At 40.2% G+C, this 21320-nt stretch overlaps 1 protein-coding gene across 13 annotated transcripts in view; it reads right to left on the reverse strand.

Annotated features, from left to right (window-relative positions):
* Nucleotides 1-21320, reverse strand: part of SETX (senataxin) — a 95389-nt gene that overhangs the window by 62628 nt on the left and 11441 nt on the right. For 11 of the 13 annotated variants that reach the window (XM_005272172.4, XM_011518404.4, NM_015046.7 and 8 more), the window contains 6 exons: nt 18707-18816; nt 12313-12532; nt 10625-10744; nt 7294-7465; nt 7069-7156; nt 2341-6516 (listed from right to left, as the gene is read on the reverse strand). In XM_005272172.4, the coding sequence (XP_005272229.1) occupies nt 2341-6516; nt 7069-7156; nt 7294-7465; nt 10625-10744; nt 12313-12532; nt 18707-18816 (4886 nt within the window). The remainder of the gene's footprint in view (nt 1-2340; nt 6517-7068; nt 7157-7293; nt 7466-10624; nt 10745-12312; nt 12533-18706; nt 18817-21320) is intronic. The other 2 variants (XM_047423025.1, XM_047423024.1) reach the window with 2 other exon arrangements.

The raw sequence follows: 21320 nt of genomic DNA on the forward strand, positions 1-21320 counted from the left end.
ATGAGGGGTGCCTGATGTTCTTTATAATGGGCCAGATAGAAATCTTTGACTATTTTAAACTCTGTATATGTACAAATGGAACTTGTGCTCATTCTGTTTTTAAAAAGCTGAGACTACAAAAATGTCCTGAAGGAAATAAATCTTAATAAATATCTTTTAACTCAGGAAATGAAAGTAAGTGTCTACCCTTCATAGGGTTATGAATGGCTTCTAAGCAATTTAGTGCTTTCCAGCGAAAATAAAGCAACTCCTGCTAAAACAAAAGTACCTTAGGAAAAAAAAATAATAAAGCAACTCTCAAAAATGGCTAAAATTTGAGGTACGAATTGATCAAAAGATTTAACATAAAGTACATTGATGAAGATACGTTCACTCAAGCTTTATAAAAGCCATTTATCTTGCCATGTACAGTGTTAACAACTCACTTCTCTTCTTTTGTAGTAGACTTGTCCCTTTGTACATTACACTTCCTTCCCCAACACTCCAATCTTGTTACCAGACTGTCTTTGCACTCCACTCTGCCTGTAACATACTTCCCACAGTTAACTCCTAGTCACTTGGGTCTCAGTGTAAATATCATCTGCTCATAGAGGTTATCTGATCTCTCCAGAAAGTGCCCTGTCCCCTTTGTTCTAGATCATACTAGAGTCCTTATCTCAATCCCAAATGGTCACTTCCAGAGAGCAGAGACCTCACACCTGTCTTGTTCACCACTTTATCTCCCATGCTTGTAAGAGCACTTGGCACATACTAGGCACTCAAATATCTATCAAGCTAATGAACCATGACTATTTACCTCAACATTGTTGGTTTTAAGAGTATTACTGTATACACGAAAGTTTCTTTTGAGGATTAACTAAAAATTTGCTCCCACTTCTTACCTGCCTTGAAAACACACACACAAAAATCCTTCTAAACGCAGTTGAATGCTTACACTAAAGAATTATTTGATGTTTTTCTCAAATTTTAACGGGAATCTTATCGTTTGTCAACTCTACTTGAGTAAGGAGGAGAGAAGAACCAGAATAGGATGTGCTGGGGTTGGGGAGGCTGTTACACAGAGCAGCTGCTGTGATGAGTAAGAAACTGGCGGCCAGACGCAGTGGCTCACGCCTGTAATCCCAGCACTTTGGGAGGCCAAGGCGGGCAGATCACAAGGTCAGGAGATTGAGACCATCCTGGCTAACATGGTGAAACCCCATCTCTACTAAAAATACAAAAAATTAGCCGGCCGTGGTGGCGAGAGCCTATAGTCTCAGCTACTCGGGAGGCTGAGGCAGGAGAACAGCCTGAACCCGGGAGGCAGAGCTTGCAGTGAGCCGAGATTGCACCACTGCACTCCAGCCTGGGCGACAGAGCGAGACTCGTCTCAAAAAAAAGAAAAAAGAAAAAAGAAAGAAAGAAACTGGGAAGTCTGACGTGTAGGGAAATTTAGGATTCATTACTTTGTGTTCAATGTAATTCACCCTTTGCCACCTCCTCAAGAAAACTACAGCAGAGGTCTCTTACTTAAAAACAAAACAAATGCACATGGGAAACTATCTCCTCTGAGAAGTCTTCCTTTACCCGTGCGTCAATAAACATTTCCTTCTGTGTTACCTCTGCACTTGGTATATTAGCACCCTGAGTTGTGTCTATCAGCTCCAAGGAGCAGAGTTTCCAGCCAGGCACAGTGGCTCATGCCCGTAATCCCAGCACTTTGGGAGGCCGAGGCTGGTGGATCACCTGAGGTCAGAATCAGAAGTTCAAGACCAGCCTGACCAACATGGTGAAACCCCTTCTCTACTAAAAATACAAAATTAGTGAGGCCTGGTGGCGCAGGCCTGTAATCTCAGCTACTTGGGAGGCTGAGGCAGGAGAATCACTTGAACCTGGGAGGCAGAAGGTTGCAGTGAGCAAAGATCGCACCATTGCACTCCAGCCTGGGCAGCAAGAGCAAAACTCCACCTAAAAAAAAAAAAAAAAAAAAGTGTTTCCTCTGTATTGCCAGTATCTAAAACAGTGGCTGGCACAAATGTCTGTTCAACATGAAATCTAAAACCAGTATCTAAATCGAAACGGTCAATTTTAATTTAACTATACTTTTTTTTGTTTTTTCTTTTGAGACAGAGTCTCACTCTGCCGCCCAGGTTGGAGTGCAGTGGCGCGACCTCGGCTCACTGCAACCTCCGCCTCCTGGGTTTAAGCAATTCTCTGCCTCAGCCTCCCGAGTAGCTGGGATTACAGGTGCCCGCAACCACGCCTGGCTGATTTTTTGAACTATACTCTCATTTTCACTCAGCAAGGTAAAGAGGTAACTTGAAAAGTTTGGAGAGGCATACAAATGAAACACATACTTACTGTTTCAAAAGTATTCAATACCATCAAAGGGAAAAAAACATTAAAATAATCTCCATAATTGTGAAATCTGACAGGCACAGGTCTTGAGATGGACTGACAAAGACTTGCAGGGGGCCCACACTGACCAAAGTTCAAAAACATTTCATATTTCCATTTTAAGACCTCTTTAACGAAGGTGTCAGAGACAGACTGTGATGACAAAAGAATGTTTACTGGAGAGGAAGATGGAAAATATTTGCTTTCACCAAATGGAACTTTGCAACCTTGCCTGTTGGAATTATTCGGAGACTGAGGATGAAGAACATTGCACGAATTCTTCATTTCACCAACTGGCTTCTGAGCTATGAGGGGAACTGGCTGTGGTACTTTCAAAATCGACTGTATCCCCTTTGACTTATTTTTTAGAGACGGTGAAAGTGCTGAAGAAGTTTCCAAAGATTTAGAAAGACCAGCAATTCGTGAAGTACTCTTTGAGCTAAAAATCTTAGTGGTAGGTCTCAAAGGTTTAGATGCAGGAGGAGGCAAGCCAGGTTTACGAAATACATCTTCATCTGCTGCTTTCACTTCAGAGTGTTTTGGGCAGTATTCACCCTGGTTTTTTGTGGTTTCAAGACAATCTTTGTACTTACACTTTGTGCCACTCAAAGATTCCAACTGAGGCCGACTTACAGAATCTTCTTCAACCTCAACTGTATCTTTTCCATGAATTAGTTCAATGAGTTTATAATTGTCATTCTCCATTTGTGAACATAAATCCATATCTTCAGGATCATTTTGGGTTAAAAATAAGTTATCTTCCTCTGCATCACTGCTGGAGTCAGGCTCTCCTTCTTTCAAAGCTGCCATCTCTATATGACGTGCTGTTGGATCACCTCCACCCAGAGGGTCTTCTGAAGTGGAGACAATTACTTCATTTGTTGGTACTGTTCCATTTAACACTACAGAATCACACTGGTTCAAAGGGCAAGCATCATCAGTTGCTGGAGACCCATGTTTTGCTTTTATGGTTTCTGGTTCAGAAGGCATGCATTTTATTAACTGTTTTCTGTTACTGTTGGCAAGTACCTCAGTTCCTCCTGTACAATTATAATCTGACCTATCAGATTCTGGTACAAATATGTCAGAATTCTGTGCTGTATGTGACCCTGCTCTTTTAACATCTGTACTTTCACAATCAGAAAGTCTTCGTCTATTTTTTTGTGATTTGGGTCTGATCTGCCTTTGCATCTGAAGTTCTTGACTAGTCAGAAGTTTCTTATTATTTCTGACAGACAGGTTCTGAGGAGAAATTAATTTAGTCTTTTTTCGGGTATCAACTACTCCAACAGTTTTGCCATGATCACGTAATTGAGCTACATAATCCAAAGACCGCTGGGACAACTCATATGCCTTACGAGGACCCTTTTTCAGGCCAAGTTTCTCAGCTGTTGAAGTTGGCTCAGGACACTGACGAAATTTCTTTGGCGGCACTATAGCAGGAGTTGTTCTACAACTTAGGTAATTTGAACTTCTATTCTGTCCTTTTTTGGCATCTGAATGAGTTTTCTTAGGGGTCTTAGAAACTGGAACTTTCCTGATGGGTTCTGTACAAGTACAAAGCTTTGAAGACTTCTTTTGTGAAACCGTAGTGGCTCTCTGAATACGTGAATTGGGAGTTGAAGTCCTTCTATCAATACTTTTAAAATCATTTCCCACAAGATCTCTCTTATTAGTATCAGACTGGCCCTCATTTCTGACAGAAGATGAAGGCCTCACAGGATCTTCAGCCATTGGTTTTTCAGATCGTTTTCTCTTAGGCTTTTTTACTTCAATTTCACAAAATTCTTCAACAGAAATACTCCGTGGTCTTGTGTGTTCTTCAATGCCCTCTGCTCCTTTTTTAACAACTTCAGATACATAATCTGTACAACCCTGACCATTTGTAGTATTGGCTATAGGAGCCAAACATTTTTTCTCACCATCTTGAACTGAATTATTATCGTCTGGATGATCTTGCCAAACTGAAAACACTTCAGATGAACTTTCAAACTCAAAACACTGAGAATCAGATTCCTCAAACTGAAAAAGAGTCTCTGTCTTTTCTTCCTTTACTGGATTCTTTTCCTCCTTACTATTAACTGTTGAAACGTGCTGCTCTGGATGTTCCCTCTCAAGGCATATTTTGTCCTGTTTAGTGAGTTTCTCAAGACTCAGGATTCTTTCATCATCATCATCATCAGAATCTGAAATAATAATAACCTGTCCACGGGAGGTATCTCCAACATTATTTTGGTTAGCTGTGAAACATCTTTTATCTTCTTTTACTTTCCTTTGCAGCTGCGATGAGTTCTGAGGTGAATCGGATGGGAACGTAATAACACTGGCTTGAGCTAGTAAAGATAATTTGTGAAGGTCTCTGTCTATCTGAGAATCCGTTAAGGTGTCAGATTTAGGACTGATGTCAGGGGCCTGTTCTCTTGTCAAGTTAGAATAAATCACACTGGTACTATTACTCATCTCCTCATCTCTTGATTCAGGTACAGTCATAAGATCTTTAAAGGGAGATGATTTCTTCTCTGAAGCATTGGTCATTTCTGTAAAAGGGATCAATTCTTTACCATCAACATGAAATTCCTGTATTTTACAATTGTTTTCATGGAAAGAGAAAATAACTAATTCTTCATTCTTTAATTGTTTCTCTTTTGGCAATACATTGTTTTGAGATTTTTGTTCTCCATTCTTATCATCCAGAACACCACTAGGGTCTAAAGAAAGATTGTGTATGAAACCATCTCCTTTCTGAACTCCTGTATCTTTCCTTGAATAGAAACTCTCAATGTTAGATACAGTCAAATTTTCATCTAAATTGATAGTATTATCGACCAAAGTACTCTTCCTGTGTTGCTTCTTTATTACATGTGATAACTTTGCACAGATTTCATCTTTCTGTACCTTAGTTTTTCGTTTTGAGGTTTTAGCAAGAGCATCATCCTTTAAAGAGAAATCTTCATTCGATGTGGACACTTTTTCCAAAGCATCAGTGCTAGAATCAGTCAACAAACGTGTTGATACTATTATTCCTCTGTCACATCCCCTTTCTGGACCATTTCTTGAAGTACAGTCCTTTGGTGTATATGAAGAGATCTCTTTTACAGACTTCTGCTTCCTTGTACTTATTTTAATTTGATCTTCAGCTCTTTCAGTAAAAATGTTTTTACTACTCTGCTTTAAGCATGACCCAGCTAAGAGATGGTCCTCTAGTTTCACATCCTTTATATAATTTTGCTCATTATTGTCACCTTCTATAGTGTTATCTGCTTTGATCAATACACTGTCTTGCACTTTCATTGGTTCTTTAGAAAATGTTGGGCTGGAAGCTTCCAAACAATGCATATCTTTTCTAGACGTCTTCCCCATTTGTTCACTTTCTTCTTTATTATAAGATGCAGGAGAGATTTTACATGCAGAAGTCAGATCCACAAAAGTGTTACATGGAGGTGCTTTGAATTTTATGTTTCTAATAATTTGCTTTAAGCAACTTTGTAGCTCATGGGTTTCCTGACTAGTCAACTGCCAACCTAGAGATAAATTTCCTCTAAGGAATAAGTTGAGCTTATCCCAGAATCGCTTGCAAAGAGACTGCTGCCCAAGCTGATAACCTTCTTTAAGGAGACTTCTAATCAGCTGCACATAAGCAAGTTGTACAGAGTTAGATGGCATGGAATGCAATGACAGTGAAGATATCATTGCTGTTCCTTTGGAGCAATTTCCAGATGATTTCTCAGAACTCCGTGTAAACGCAGTGGTAGGAAGCTTGGCACATTTGACGACGGCTTCCACCCATTGCTGGGAACTTACCCACAGCAAATGCAAACATTTTTTATTTCTATGCAGTTCAATCACTGATACCAAAATTAGAAGAAAAAATTCAGTGACTTTGTCACACACAGCATCTGTTTGGTTGAGGACTTCTTTGACTTCAGAGTACAGATGATTAACAACCTGTGCTATGTAAGCCACACCCAAATCCTTAAGATCCATGAGGGACTGGACAAAAGGGATGAACCATAGAAATGTGCTGTTATGAACACGCATGTCTTGACCAATATCTGACTGAAGTACACTGGCTAATGTTTCCATTTCTTCATACATGTTAGGACAATAATCTGGGCAAATGGCTGTTCTCCATCCAGAATCCTAAAATGAAAGAAATGCTGATGTTCAGATAAATAAGCACCACTTATGACAGGTTCAACACCCAAGTCGTTAAGAAAAATACGTTTCTCAACTCTCTTATTTTGGTTTACCACATCATTATTATGCTATACAATGGTATAATTGTGGCATATAATTATATCACAATCGTAATACACCTAACTCCCAAGAAAGTGAAAATATAAATTGAATTTTGAGTTTTCATAAAAAGACAAATTGGTAACACCTTTATGTACTCTCACCTTCTGTCCACTAGCTAGTTTTGATTTCTAGTCATGCCATGTATGTCCCCATAAACTTTCCATCTTCCCTAAATGTACTTATAAGTTAATTTTCCAAAGTATGCATACTGTAGTTAGAGTCCATCTTCCCCAACACACAATACATCTGCTGTTCAATGAGAAGGGCTTTTACATAGCAGTAGATTGAGAACAGCTACATATCACAAAATCTGCAACTCAACAAATTATACAAAATAGTCTACACAATATAAAGGCAATAAAATAGCATCTGAATTTTCAAAGTGTTTTATACCTTTTTGGTCTTTTCAGGATTATAATTGTATACGATCTGGCTGCAAGTCACCATATCATCCAAATAGGACTCCGGTTCTAACTTGGTCCTTAAATATTAAGAATAAATAGAAATTACTGAAACGAAGGGGGAAAAAAAGGAAGAAACACCTCTTGTTAAGTAATCTAGCTGGAACACACTTTCTTATAGAGATGATGTTTAAATCCTGACATTAGCTGAACTAACCTTACAGAGCTGTTCCGTATATGTCGGATCTCTCTATTGTAGCTTGCGTTGTTGATAATGGTTTGAAATGCCACAATAGGATCCATAAGTTGACCCCAGACCTTAGATCCAAGGCGATCCAGAATCACCATAAAACAGTGTAACGCTGGCCAGAAAGGATCCACACTATCATCTGAAATACAATGGCACAATCGTTGAATTACTAAACAGTTAGAAAAACATACTACAATATATTGAGAATTAAGCATATTCTTTATCTGGTGAGTAGCAACCCAACTAAAAGCCAAGGAGCAAATAATTTAAAGCAGTGCCGCCACCAGTCCTCAGACACACAGAGGGTTTCAAAAGCAGCCACATTTTCAAGATTTTTTGCAAGCAATACTATGATACGTCTGTAAAAAAAAAAAAAAATTTAGTGGCAAACAAATTACTTAATGGGCAAGAAAACAGTCTAGGTAAGCACAATCTTTTCACACCCTGTTTGCCATACCAGAAACAACCTTTTCTAATTCAGCTCCTCAACCCCTGCCAAAACTTTGTAGTCCCATCCTCCAATAACTAACAGAAAAGAAGAGGAAAAAAATAAAGGAAAGAGAAAGAAACTTGGTATTTACAGATCTACATGAAGCCCATAATACAAGAAATTCTCTTTCAGCATCATCCTGAATTTTGTGTCACGCATCTAGTGTAAATGACTAAATTCTTTAGCTAAGGAATAAGGCAAAGATACACTCTTCATCCATCTGTATCTCAACATGGCTTTGCTGTTCTCTACTTTTCATCCAACCTCCTGCTTCTCTATCAAATATGCAGTAGCAAGATACCGCCCTACTCAAAGACCTTCAATGGATACTTAATGTCTTCCAAGAAAATTCAAAATCCTCAGTCAAGAACTTAAAAGATATTGATCTACTGTTTATTTCCATTTTTATTTTTCATATTCCTATAATCATACACTATCTACAGCACAAATAGATCACTGGCTTTTTCCAAAATAAGCACTAGAATGCCCTCAATTCTAGCACAACATATCAAAATCCTATCCATCCTTAAAAGTCCAGCTTAAATGCCTCCTCCTATATTAAACATTCCCCCACTTCAGTCATCTACAGTACTCTTCTGAGGCAAGTGCTTGAATTCACGCAGTCACTGCTATTGCTACGTCATCCTAGAACTTGTGACTTTACTTCCCTCATACTTCTCAGACTTTACCACAGTCATTTGAACTTTCTTATATATGTTTGTATCCTCCACTGCATCTGAAACAGTGCCTGTGTCTAATAAGCTCACAAGAAACAAAGTAGTTAGATGAAGACAATTATGAAAAGTTTCTCAAAGAGGTAATTAAAATTTTGAAGACAAGGCTGGGTTCAGTGGCTCACACCAGTAAATCCCAACACTTTGGGAGGCCGAGGCAGGAGGACTGCTTGAGGTCAGGAGTTCAAGACCAGCCTACACCCATAGTGAGACTTTGTCTCTAGCAAAAATTTAAAAATTAGCTGGGTAAGATGGCACATGCCTGTGGCCCCAGTTACTAGGGAGTCAGAGGCAGGAGGATGACTTGAGCCTGGGAGGTTAAGGCTGCAGTGAGACCTGATTGAGCCACTCCAGGGTGGGTGATAGTGAGATCCTGTCTCAAAAGAAAAAAAAAAAAAAAGGTGTTTGTTTTTTTTTAAGATGGTTAAGGGAGCTAGCTTAACAGAAAGGACAGAATTATACATGTAGTTAGGCACAGGGAAAGAAATGAACAATTTATGCAGTAAATGTTGGCAAAAGAGTAATAGCCTCAGACATAATCTAGCAAGAAAATATATGCCAAAGGCCGGGCGTGGTGGCTCATGCTTGTAATCCCAACACTTTGAGAGGCCAAGGCAGGCGGATCACATGAGACCAGGAGTTCAAGACCAGCCTGGAAAACATAGTGAAACACCATCTCTACTAAAAATACAAAAATTAGCCAGGTATGGTGGTGCATACCTGTAATCCCAGCTACTTGGGAGGCTAAGGCAGGAGAATCGCTTGAACCCAGAGGCAGAGGCTGCAGTTAGCCAAGATCGCACCACTGCACTCCAGCCTGGGTGAGAGAGAAAGACTTGGTCTCAAAAAGAAAAAAAAAAAAAAGAAAAAAAAAAATATATATACACACACACACACACACACACACACACACACACACACACACGCCCTATCAACAAAAGAATAACATTAATATATTTATATTAGAATCTCCCACAAATGAGTTTATATACAACATTCAAGTTGCATGAAGAGAATGAGGGGAAAAAATTATACTCATTATGTTTTCTCATAGGATCTGGTATACTTGGTCTTTATTAATTCATTACTTCCTAAAGATTAGAAGCACTTATTTAATTACAGATCCTTCATGATTAGCATGATACAAGCATCAGCAAAAGGAGGTCAGGATCTAATAATAAACATGACTACAAGTTTTAGGCCTCATTATCTAGACTATCTGGAGCAGCATATCCAAGAGAATGTTCTGTGATGATGGAAATCTTCTGTCTCTGCATTGTTCAATACAGTACAGGATAGAGTACAGGCACGTGTGGCCATTGAGCCTTGAAATATGACTAGTGGGACCAAATAACTGCATTTTTAATTTTAATTGACTTAAATTTATTTTAATAATCACATGTGGCTGGCAGTTACTGTATTAGAGAACCACAGAGAAACAAAGAGGCAGGCAAAGGGAGGCCATGGGACAGAGAAGGCTTACCCCACAATGTTAACCACAATGTCATTACAAATGGGTCTCCCAGAGGTTCTGATGTTCATCCTACCACCAACTTTTTCATCATGAAAAAGTAGATTAACTTCCCTTCTTCTATGAAAGGAAGGTATTGAATTAAATTATAAAGGTCCTTTCTGATTTAAAAGTCTCATGCCTGTAATCCCAGCACTTTGGGAGGCCAAGGCAGGCAGATCACCTGAGATCAAGAGTTCAAGACCAGCCTGACCAACGTGGTGAAACCCCGTCTCTACTAAAAATACAAAAAAATTAGCTGGGCGTGGTGGTGCACGCCTGTAGTCCCAGCTACTTGGGAGGCTGAGACAGGGGAATTTCTTGAACCCAGGAGGTGGAGGTTGCAGTGAGCTGACATCGCACCATTGCACTCCAGCCTGGGCAACAAGAGTATGACTTCGTATCAAAAAACAAAACAAAACAAAATAAAAAGTCTGAATCTATTACTAAACCAGAAAAATTCTTTTCTCCACAACATACACCAATTCCTGCAGTGACACTATCATTTTTAAAGTGCATCATCATCACTATATTCAACAACATTCAGCAAGTAAAGTTTATTACCATCTGCTTCCCTCTCCATAGTGTGAAGTATCGATTGCATAAAATCATTTTGTTTGTCTGAGCCCAACAACAGGGAATCCATGGCTTGTTCCTCAAGAATGGTCAGCAACATGCAAATACCTGTAAGATCATTTAGAGTTATCTTGAATTGATGAAATAATACTATACTAATGCCTGGTTTAGTTTGCAAAAGAATAACAAGGCAGGAAGATGAAGCAAGATAGTATTTAGTTTCTCAAACATTTAAGTCTCAGATATTCATACACAACTGCTCCCAAGTAATAGAACTCTAGACTAATTCAAGTGTGAAAGTACAAGATGGTTAGAAAACAATTTCTAACATAACTACCATGTAACTTGTATCTCACCAATATAAGATGCCTTCAATTTTAAGATGTACCATATTCCATATACCACTAAGAAAGAAAAAAAAAATCACTGCCATTTATGACACGTGACCTTAAGATTTGGAATCAAGGAAATGGTATAGAAGTATTTTGAGGCCGGGCGTGGTGGCTCACACCTGTAATCCCAGCACTTTGGGAGGCCAAGGCGGGCAGATCACAAAGTCAGGAGATCGAGACCATCCTGGCTAACATGGTGAAACCCCGTCTCTACTAAAAATACAAAAAAATTAGCCAGGCGTGGTGGCAGGCGCCTGTGGTCCCAGCTACTCGGGAGGCTGAGGCAGGAGAATGGCGTGAACCCAGGAGGCGGATCTTGCAGTGAGCCGAGATCGCGCGACTGCACTCCAGCCTGGGCGACAGAGCAAGACTCCGTCTCAAAAAAAAAAAAAAAAAAAAAAAAAAGTATTTTGAGCCACAATAGGACTTGTAAACAATGCTGTCAACTCTTTCTACCAGGAAAATTTAATTTTTTTTTTTTTAGGAGACAGGATCTCCCTCTGTCACCCAGGCTGGAGTGCAGTAGCACAATCCTAGCTCACTGCAGCTTCAAATTCCTGGGCTTAAATGTTCCTCCTGCCTCAGCCTCCCAAGATGCTGGGACTACAGGCGTGCACCACCATGCCCAGTTCTACCAGGAAATATTTTACACACTGAAAAAGGAGTATTAACAATCAAATCCTATTTAAAGCCAACTATTACACTAATATTTTGTTAATAAAATGTGGCCGTAAACAAGATTCGATTCATTTGCCAGTGCTTGAAAATGTACTGCTTACTACAGAAAAGTTTCTAGGATATAAATACTGTTTAATAACAAGATATGTAATAGTTAAGTCAACTTAATGACAGAATAAGAACTGAGAACTATAAAATCCTATCTTCAGTAAGTTTCATCAGATCACCAAAGAGAACACTTCCCTTTTAGGACCCTCATAGGAACTACAGGGCCGGGCGCGGTAGCTCACGCCTGTAATCCCAGCACTTTAGGAGGCCAGGGTGGGCAGATCACTTGATGTCAGGAGTTCAAGACCAGCCTGGCCAACATGGTGAAACCCCGTCTCTACTAAAAATACAAAAAATTAGCCAGGTGTGGTGGCGTTTGCCTGTAATCACAGCTACTCGGGAGGCTAAGGCAGGAGAATTGCTTGAACCTGGGAGGTGGAGCTTGCGGTGAGTGGAGATGGTGCCACTGCACTCCAGCCTGGGCAACAGAGTGAGACTGTCTCAAAAAACAGAACTATACGAAAATACCAATTATATTAGTGTAGGAATAATACTCACCTAACCAATAGCTTTTGTAGTTGGTAGTATCATACATGTGTGAGGGCAGAAGAATCAGTTTACCCTTCTCTAGGACAGAAGAAGTATAAATGTCTGGACTCTCTAAAAGCCCCAACTCAATGACTTTAAAAAGGCAAAGTAAAACTTCTTGTAAGTCATAATAATCATCTCTGTCCACTTTCCCCAAGTTTCTTGCAGTCAAGATAGCCCAACGCCGAACCTAAATGCAGAATATATTTATTACTTAATTCAATAAACAATGGTCTACAAACAGCAAGAACACAGAAAAGAAAACAGGATTCTCTGCATATTTTAAAAGACATGTGACATATTAATTAATGCAATGTGTGGACCTTATTTGATCCTGATTTGAACATACTAACCCCTAATAAACAGTTTTAGACAATCATTTCCATTCATTCAAACACTGACTGGCAAGACAACATTAAGTAATTATTCTTTTAGATGCAATAATAGTATTTTTCTGGCTGGGTGCAGTGGCTCACACCTGTAATTTCAGTACTTTGGGAGGCTGAGGCGGGCAGATCACCTGAGGTCAGGAGTTCAAGACCAGCCTCGCCAACTTGGCAAAACCTTGTCTCTACTAAAAATACAAAAAAATTAGCTGGACTTGGTGGTGCACTCCTGTAGTCCCAGCTACTTGGGAGGCTGAGGCAGGAGAATTGTTTGAACCTGGTGGGGAAAGGTTGCAGTGAGCCAAGATCCTACCACTGCACTCCAGCCTGGGCGACAAGAGTAAGACTCCATCTCAAAAAATATATATATAATAATATTTTTCGTTTTTTTTAAGTCTTTATCTTTTAGAAATACATACTGAAATATTTTGTGGATGAAATGCTCTGATATCTAAGATTTGCTCTAAACTAATCTAAAGGGGAGTGGAATGTTGACCATGTATTGATAAAGCTAACTGATGGATTATGGGGGATTCATTACACCATTCTTGCTACTTTTATGTTTATCATTTTCCATAACAGAATGTCCAAAAAAGGAAAGAAAACACAAAATGAGGAATCTCAAAAGAAATCAAAGGGCATTTCTAAATGGCAGAATAGCATAAAGAAGTGATTTTAAATTTCTTGGAGACTATGAATTAAATTTAGTGCTCACAACCAACCTTAAAAAAAAAAAACAAGAACAGAAAAATATCAAGAGTGCATCCTTCATAGTAAAAGTATTATTTTACAAAATACATTATATAGGCATATGCATACACAAGGAAAACATTTTTTACTACAGATTGTAATCAAAAAGTTGGAAAAACACAGACCCCACAGGTAAAAGCATGAGCTCTATGCCAACATAAGCAACAAATTATAAACTACTGAAAAAGTTTTGGAATCCATGAGACCTTACTGATAATAAGTGGTAGAAGGGGAAAAGACTCTTGATTACTGTACAATCAATGTCAAGTGGTAAATAGTAAACATGGAGAGTGCTGGAGTTAGGAAATGACCATCTTGCAATCACCATAGTTCAGGCAAGACACATTAATGAATGCTAAATTTAGGAGATCTTGATGAAATGCATAGTATTTACATGGTCTTAAAGTATCTAAACAATAGAAATTACACAGCAGAGAAATGGGACAGCACCTTCACCGAATGCTCAAAATTAACATCACCATGAGTTGCAAAGGATATGGCGTGCCTCTGTCTACATATGACAAGCTGAGAAGGACAGTAACATCACTTACATGGTACTCCAGCTGGGAATGTGTAACCTGAATCTATGCATGAGGAAACATCAGACAAACCCAAAGTGAGGAACACTCTTTTTTTTTTTTTTTTTTTGAGACAGAGTCTTACTCTATCGCCCAGGCTGGCATGCAGTGGCACCATCTCGGCTCACTGCAACCTCTGCCTCCTGGGGTCAAGTCATTGTCCTACCTGAGCCTCCTAAGTAGCTGGGATTACAAGGGTGCACCACCACGCCCGGCTAACTTTTGTTATTTTTAGTAGAGACGGGGTTTCACCATGCTGGCCAGGCTGGTCTCGAACTCCTGACCTCATGATCCACCCACCTCGGCCTCCCATAGTGCTGGGATTACAGGCATGAGCCACCGTGCCCAGCCTCACTTATTTTTTTAAAAAGAGGCAGAGCAGGAATGACTGTATTCTTCAGAAAAGTAATTTTCATGTAAGACAATGAAATGTTCCAGATTAAAGAGGACTAAATGGACGTGACAGCTAAATAAGACCTTTTACCAGCAATAACTAGAGGTTTTGCAAATGCATGACCTCTCCAAAATTGTATTCTCAGGCTATCACACAAAAATAAAATGGTATATCATTGTGGTCTTATTATTTCCCTGATCATTAAATAGAAAACATTCCTTCATATATTTATTAGCTATTGGTAGTTCCTCTTCTGTTCTGGGACATGCCTGTTCAGATCTTCATCCATATTTTTTGTATTGTTAGTAATATGATTATCTTCAATTTTTTACTTTATTTTTTTGAGAAAGAGTCTCACTCTGTTGCCCAGGTTGGAGTGCACTGGCAGATCAGGGTTCACTGCAGCCTCAACCTCCTGGGCTCAAGTGATCCTCCCACCTTAGCCTCCTGAGTAGCTAGGGCTACAGGTGTGCAACGTTATGCCAAGCTAATTAAAAAAAAAATTTTTTTGTAGGGATAGGTTCTTGCTATGTTGCTCAGGCTGGTCTTGAATTCTTGGCTTCAAACAATCCTCCAACCCTGGCTTCCCAAAGGCCTGGGCTTTCGAGCATGAGCGACCATGCCCAGCCCTTTTCCCAATTTTTAACTAGTATTTTCACTCTCTTTATGGTATTTTTTGATAAACAATAACTTTTCATTTTAATATAGTCAAGTTCATCAACTTTCCTTTCATAATCAATGCTTTCGTTTCTATAAAACCCTTCCTCAGGCCAGGCATGGTGGCTCATGCATGTAATCTCAACACTTTGGGAGGCTGAGGTATGGGGGCACTTGAGCCCAGGAGTTCGAACCCAGCCTGGGCAACACAGTGAAACCCCATCTCTACAAAAAATTAGCTGGGCATGGTGACCGAGGAAGGAGATTTTGGTGAAATGCCTGAGCCTGGGAGGCAGAGATTACAGTGAGCTGTCATCACGCCACTGCACTCCAGCCTGGGTGACAGAGCAAGACCCTGTCTCAAAAAAATAAAACAAATCTTTCCTCACCTTACAATCTAAATGCTGTACACCTCTATTTCCTGCAAAGAGTTTGAAAACTGAACCTAACTATGGTTTTTTAGATAGATTTTGTCATTATGAATGATAATAAGGTAGGGATCTAACCTCTCTTTCCATATAGTACAACTTTCCTTTTGTGAGATGGAGTTTTGCTCTTGTTGCCCAGGCTGGAGTTCAATGTTGCAATCTCGGCTCACTGCAACCCCTGCATCCCGGGTTCAAGCAATTCTCCTGCCTCAGCCTCCCAGGTAGCTGGGACTACAGGCACACACCACCACACCTGCCTAATTTTTTTGTATTATTAGTAGAGACAGGGTTTCATCATGTTGGCCAGGCTGGTCTCAAACTCCTGGCCTCAGGTGATCCGCCCACCTCAGCCTCCCAAAGTGCTGGGATTACAGGAATGAGTCACCGTGCCCAGCCATATCTCCGGTATTTCTTTGTCCTGATTTTTATTTTTCTCTTTCTGGGACGTCTTACATCTTTGTTAACACTACTACTTCTACCCTCCATTTATCTTTTAGCTTTTCTTTTTATATTTTCTATTTCTCTTTTTCTTCTTAGGGATTTGCTCATTCTGGTCTTCTAATACAGTCACTCATTCTCTTGGCTGTACCCACTGTATTATCTATCCCATCTTCTGAAGCCTTTATTTTAAATATCTCATTTTTCAATGTTACAACAACTTGGCTTGGTTCTCACATTTTCTTTCTTTTTTTTAATTATACTTTAAGTTCTAGGGTCCATGTGCACAATGTGTAGGTTTGTTGGTTCTCACGTTTTCTAGTTCTCATTTCACATTAGTATCTTCCCGTATTTCTTCTAGCATGTTTACTATAATAATTTTAAATTTACTGGACAAGTGTCCTAATATATCTGCTTCTACTGAAATCTTCATGTTTCTCATATGTCTATTATTTTTAGTTTGTGAATTCCTTTTCACTCTGGGGTACTGGCTCCTATCAGGCGGTGCCTATGGAAGGCCAGACTCCAGACTGGCTTATGCCCAATCAATTCAGGGCTGAGTGATGGATAAAATCCAAGCCAGAAAAACGTACTCACTCACTGCCACGCATTTTAGTTTTCTAAGTCAGGTCGTCACCCTTTACTCCCGGGCAGAAGCAGCATTAGAAGACACTACTGGGCTGTAATCCCCCAAGTCCTGGGGTTAAGAGGGGATGATAATGAAGCAATTATCAGTGGTTAATTGGTCTCCACCTGCTTGTCTCAGTGCCTCACAAATATTAGGGGTTATCCACTGTGCTGATTTCATTCCTACCTTCACCTGGATCAGATCTTTTAGTTGAGAACAGATTTGGATGCAGGTTTTATTCATCTAAGGCAATGATGAGGGAGAACTGGAAGCAGAACCTTAACAGTTCCTTTTCTACTTTATTCTCCCACAGCCCATTTTATTCTCTGGCTGTGGGAGAATGCTCTGAGAGGTAATTCCATAGTGCCTCCCACAGGCACTGCCAGATAGGACCCAATACCCCAGAGTGAAAAGGAATTCACAAACTAAGGATGTTCTCCTCCCCATCTCCCACATTCACCTTTCAAAACAGCCCTTGTCGGCTGGACGTGGTGGCTCACACCTGTTATCTCAGCACTTTGGGAGGCCGGGGTGGGTGCATCATTTGAGGTTAGGAGTTTGAGACCAGCCTGGCCAACCTGGTGAAACCCTGTCTCTACTTCCGGCGTGGGCAACAGAGCAAGACTCTGTCTCAAAAAATAAAATATAATAATAAAAAAAATTTTTTTTAATAAACCAGCCCTTGTCAACTCAGAGTTTCTCTCAATGTTCTCCATTTTCTCTTTCAAGTTCCTCTAGAGTTAAACCTAGAGAAAGGACCAACAGTGCTGGTCTTTGTTCTGTCAGAGCATGCGCTTTCCTCGTGTGTTTCAGGGATTTGGTTTGCAAGCTCATCCGACAGGGAGGAATTCTGTGTCCCTCCTACCACTACCCCTCCCCTTCCTAAATATAAATTTGGGCTGCTTTCTATCCATCCTTGAGAGTCCTGCTCCAGAACTAGGTCTACTATCAGCAGCTCAGGGCTCCCAACCTTTGGTTACATAAGGGCTAGGCAGACTCAGTCACCAAGGCTGCAAGTGCTTCGCCCAGGCACTGGTTACAAGACCAGACCTGCTTCCTCCATATGTAAACAGCTTTTAAAAAGCCAGTGAACCTTTTTAATACTTTGGCAACCTTCTTTCACAGGCAAAGAAGCACCCCCATCCGCCCCTTGTTTGGAGTGCAGAGTTTGGCTTTGGTTCTTTGCCTTGCCTGGAGTATACTTCTAATTCCTGTTGTCCTGCACAAGCTGAATCCCGAGCTACCCACCGCCACCCAGGCCAGGTTTCCACTCATTTATTACTTCATGTTTCTGTTCCATTGCTGGTCCACAGAAATAAGTTTTCCTTTGGAGGAATGTGATTATACCCCTTTAATTTCCTCCTTTTGCTTTTTTTTAATATCATTGGTATGTGTTTGGCCCAGAGGAAACTGAAATTCACCATCATCTTGACTGGCAATCCCATTACCATGCTTTTTTTAAAAAACGTAATTTTTCTTGCCTTACATTGGCAGAGTAGCCCTTCCTGGCTACTGGCTTAATGTAGTCACTCAGTTCTAGGTGGCATTAGGCATGAGACCTGAAGCACAGACTGTCTTACCACAAAAGGTGACAAGATCTCAAACCTTAGCCAAAGGGCTATGTCAGGTTTCAATGCTATCTGCTTCTGTTCCTGCTCACTGTTCTGGATTTTGTCCTTCTTCATCTCTAGCACCAGAATTTCCCAGTCTCCCTCCCTACCTTCCCTTGTTTTAATTCTAATCTATCAGCAAAATAACTTTTCAAATGTTTTAACCGGTATCTCCATGTGTCTGCAGTGGGTCAAGCAGGTGAGAAAGTCAAGAGAAGAGGTCTTCTTGAGTTCAATTCAACATACTGAAAGGACATCAAGTTATTCCCGTTTGTCTTTTAAGATCAAGCATCACCTGTCGGTAAGTATCCCCTACCCTCTGAGATCCCCTCTTCTTTGACCCCAGAGCGCCCTCTACTTAACTGTAGTAAATTTTAAAGCAAGAAAAATTTTAGCAAACATTTTAAACAAAATCCACACCAAAAACCGCTATTATAGCTATCTATAGGTACAAAAGCACAATATACCCTTCTATCGCCCAACACTCACACTCACCATTTCATTGGGATGGACTAAAAACAAATAGATCCCTGGATGTTTATCAAACACCTGAAAGGAGCAATTGGCTTGTTCCATCCGACAAAGTGCTTCAACACATAACTCGTCTAAAAAGAAAAAAATAAGTAAAATACATAAATCTTATCACCTTATCAAGATTCCCTAAATTAGGCTCCTTGGGCTATTCTGTAAATAAATAAAAATTTGCTTTTTATTTTTCCAAATTGAGGCATAAAAATGCTTATATTGTAAATGCAGGAACAATATTTACCTGACAGGCTAAATCCGTTGATCACAGGGTGTTCTTAGAAATTATTCTGACCTTATTAGAATAGATCCCTTTTTTGCCGGGCGCGGTGGCTCACACCTGTAATCCCAGCACTTTGGGAGGCCGAGGCGGGCGGATCACAAGGTCAGGAGATCGAGAACATCCTGGCTAACACGGTGAAACCCCGTCTCTACTAAAAATACAAAAAATTAGCCGGGCGTGGTGGTGGGCACCTGTAGTCCCAGCTACTCGGAAGGCTGAGGCAGGAGAATCGCTTGAACCCAGGAGGTGGAGGTTGCAGTGAGCTGAGATCATGCCATTACACTCCAGCCTAGGCAACAAGAGCAAAACTCCATCTCAAAACAACAACAAAAAAAAGAATGTAGCTCTTTATTCACACTTAGGATAATTATCTCCATAGGGAATGTATAAAGGACCTGTAACCATATGGTTATAGGTCCAACTCCATTTGTATCTTATGTTTTGATCCACCTAGACTTTATCTGATACAAAAACAAGGAATAAAGTCAGCTTTACCCCTAAGTTACTAGCTATCCCACTCCCATTTATTGAACAATCCATTTACCCTTTCAGATGAATCAACTTTAGCTGTAAAATTTCAAAAAATATTGTCGTTTTTTCATATTACATTTTCAATATCATAGTTTTTTCATTAGTGACAGTGGTTGGCTTTAGGGATGGGGAGGCATAATGAGTAGAAAAGCATGAAGGGCACTCCTAGGATGTTGATAATGTTTCGATTTTTGATCTGGATGCTGGCTACACAAATCTGTTTGACTTGCAAAAAAACATCAGGCTTATATACTTTTACGGATAGATTATTCTTTAATACTTGAAGAAGTCTTAGAATTTTCAAATCTAGTTACTTTGAATTTATTGGTTTAGACAAACAGTACAGGAAATAAATCAGAAAAATCCATAAAGTATGTTATCCTACAGGGCAAATATATGGCCTCCCTCAACAAGTCAAACTCATGGCCAAAAAAAAGATGAGGGCACATGTTGGTTTCCGTACGAACATAGTTGGCACGTGCAGGGGTTTGGTTCCAGGATACCAAAATCCACACACAGCTGAGTCCTGCAGTTGGCCCTGAGAAATCAGCGTATACCTAAAGTCGACCCTCCAGAGAAGCGGGTTTTGCAACCCATAAATATGGTATTTTTGATTCCACTTTGGTTGAAAAAAGATCCATGTATGACTGGATCTGCACAGTTCAAGGGTCAACTTAAGATGGTTTTTGGGTTTTTTAGAGACAGGGTCTTGCGCTGTTGCCCAGAATGAAGTACAGTGGTGTGCTCATGGCTCACCTCAGGCTCAACCTCCTGGGCTCGAATGATCCTCCCACCTCAGCCTCCTGAGTACCTAGGAATACAGGCACATGCCACTATATCCAGTTAAATTTTCTTTTTTGTAGAGATGGGGGAGGGAGGGTGTTGCTACACTGCCGAGGGTGAGAAGACTGTTTTGAATTAAAAGAGCTGGAAGAACTATGTACCAAATGCAATGTGTGGTCCCTGACTAGATTCTAATTTAAGCAAATCAGCCAAAAACACATTTTGCAACTATTGGGAAAATATGAAAATGAACTAGATTTTAGTATCGTTATTTTGGGCCAGGCACGCTGGCTTACACCTGTAATCTCAGCACTTTAGGAGGCCGAGGTGGGCGGATCACTTGAGGTCAGGAGCTTGAGACTAGCCTGGCCAACATGGCAAAACCTGTCTCTACTAAAAATACAAAAAATTAGCCAGGTGTAGTGGCAGGCGCCTGTAATCCCAGCTACTCAGGAGGCTGAGGCAGGAGAATCGCTTGAACCCAGGAGGCAGAGGGTGCAGTGAGCCAAGATCCTGCCACTGCACTCCAGCCTGGGCGACAGTGAGACTCTTTAAAAAAAAAAAAAAAAAAAGGTATTGTTAGATTTGATAGGTTAGGGAAATGCCTTTACTTTCAAGAGATTCGTATTATGAAATGCAAATATCAACAACCAAAATCTAGACAGCTATAATAAGCCATGCCATAGTGGTTAATGAAAATTACTACAGAATAGCATTTCCCAACCAGGGGTGATTTTATACCTCACCCCCCAAAAGGGGTATTCAGCAATGTCTGGAGACATTTTTGGTTGTCACAAAGGAGATAGGGAGTGCTAGCGGCATTTAGTAGACAAAGGCCAGGGATGCTGCTACACATCCTACAATGGACGGCACAGCCCACAGCAAAGGATTATCCAAAATGTCACCAATGCAAGGCTGAGAAACCCTGCCACAGACATACTACAAGAATGAAAATTATTATTATTACTATTTTTTAAGACAGAGTCT

This window comes from Homo sapiens, chromosome 9, assembly GCF_000001405.40.
Source record: "Homo sapiens chromosome 9, GRCh38.p14 Primary Assembly".
NCBI classification, from domain to species: Eukaryota; Metazoa; Chordata; class Mammalia; order Primates; family Hominidae; genus Homo; species Homo sapiens.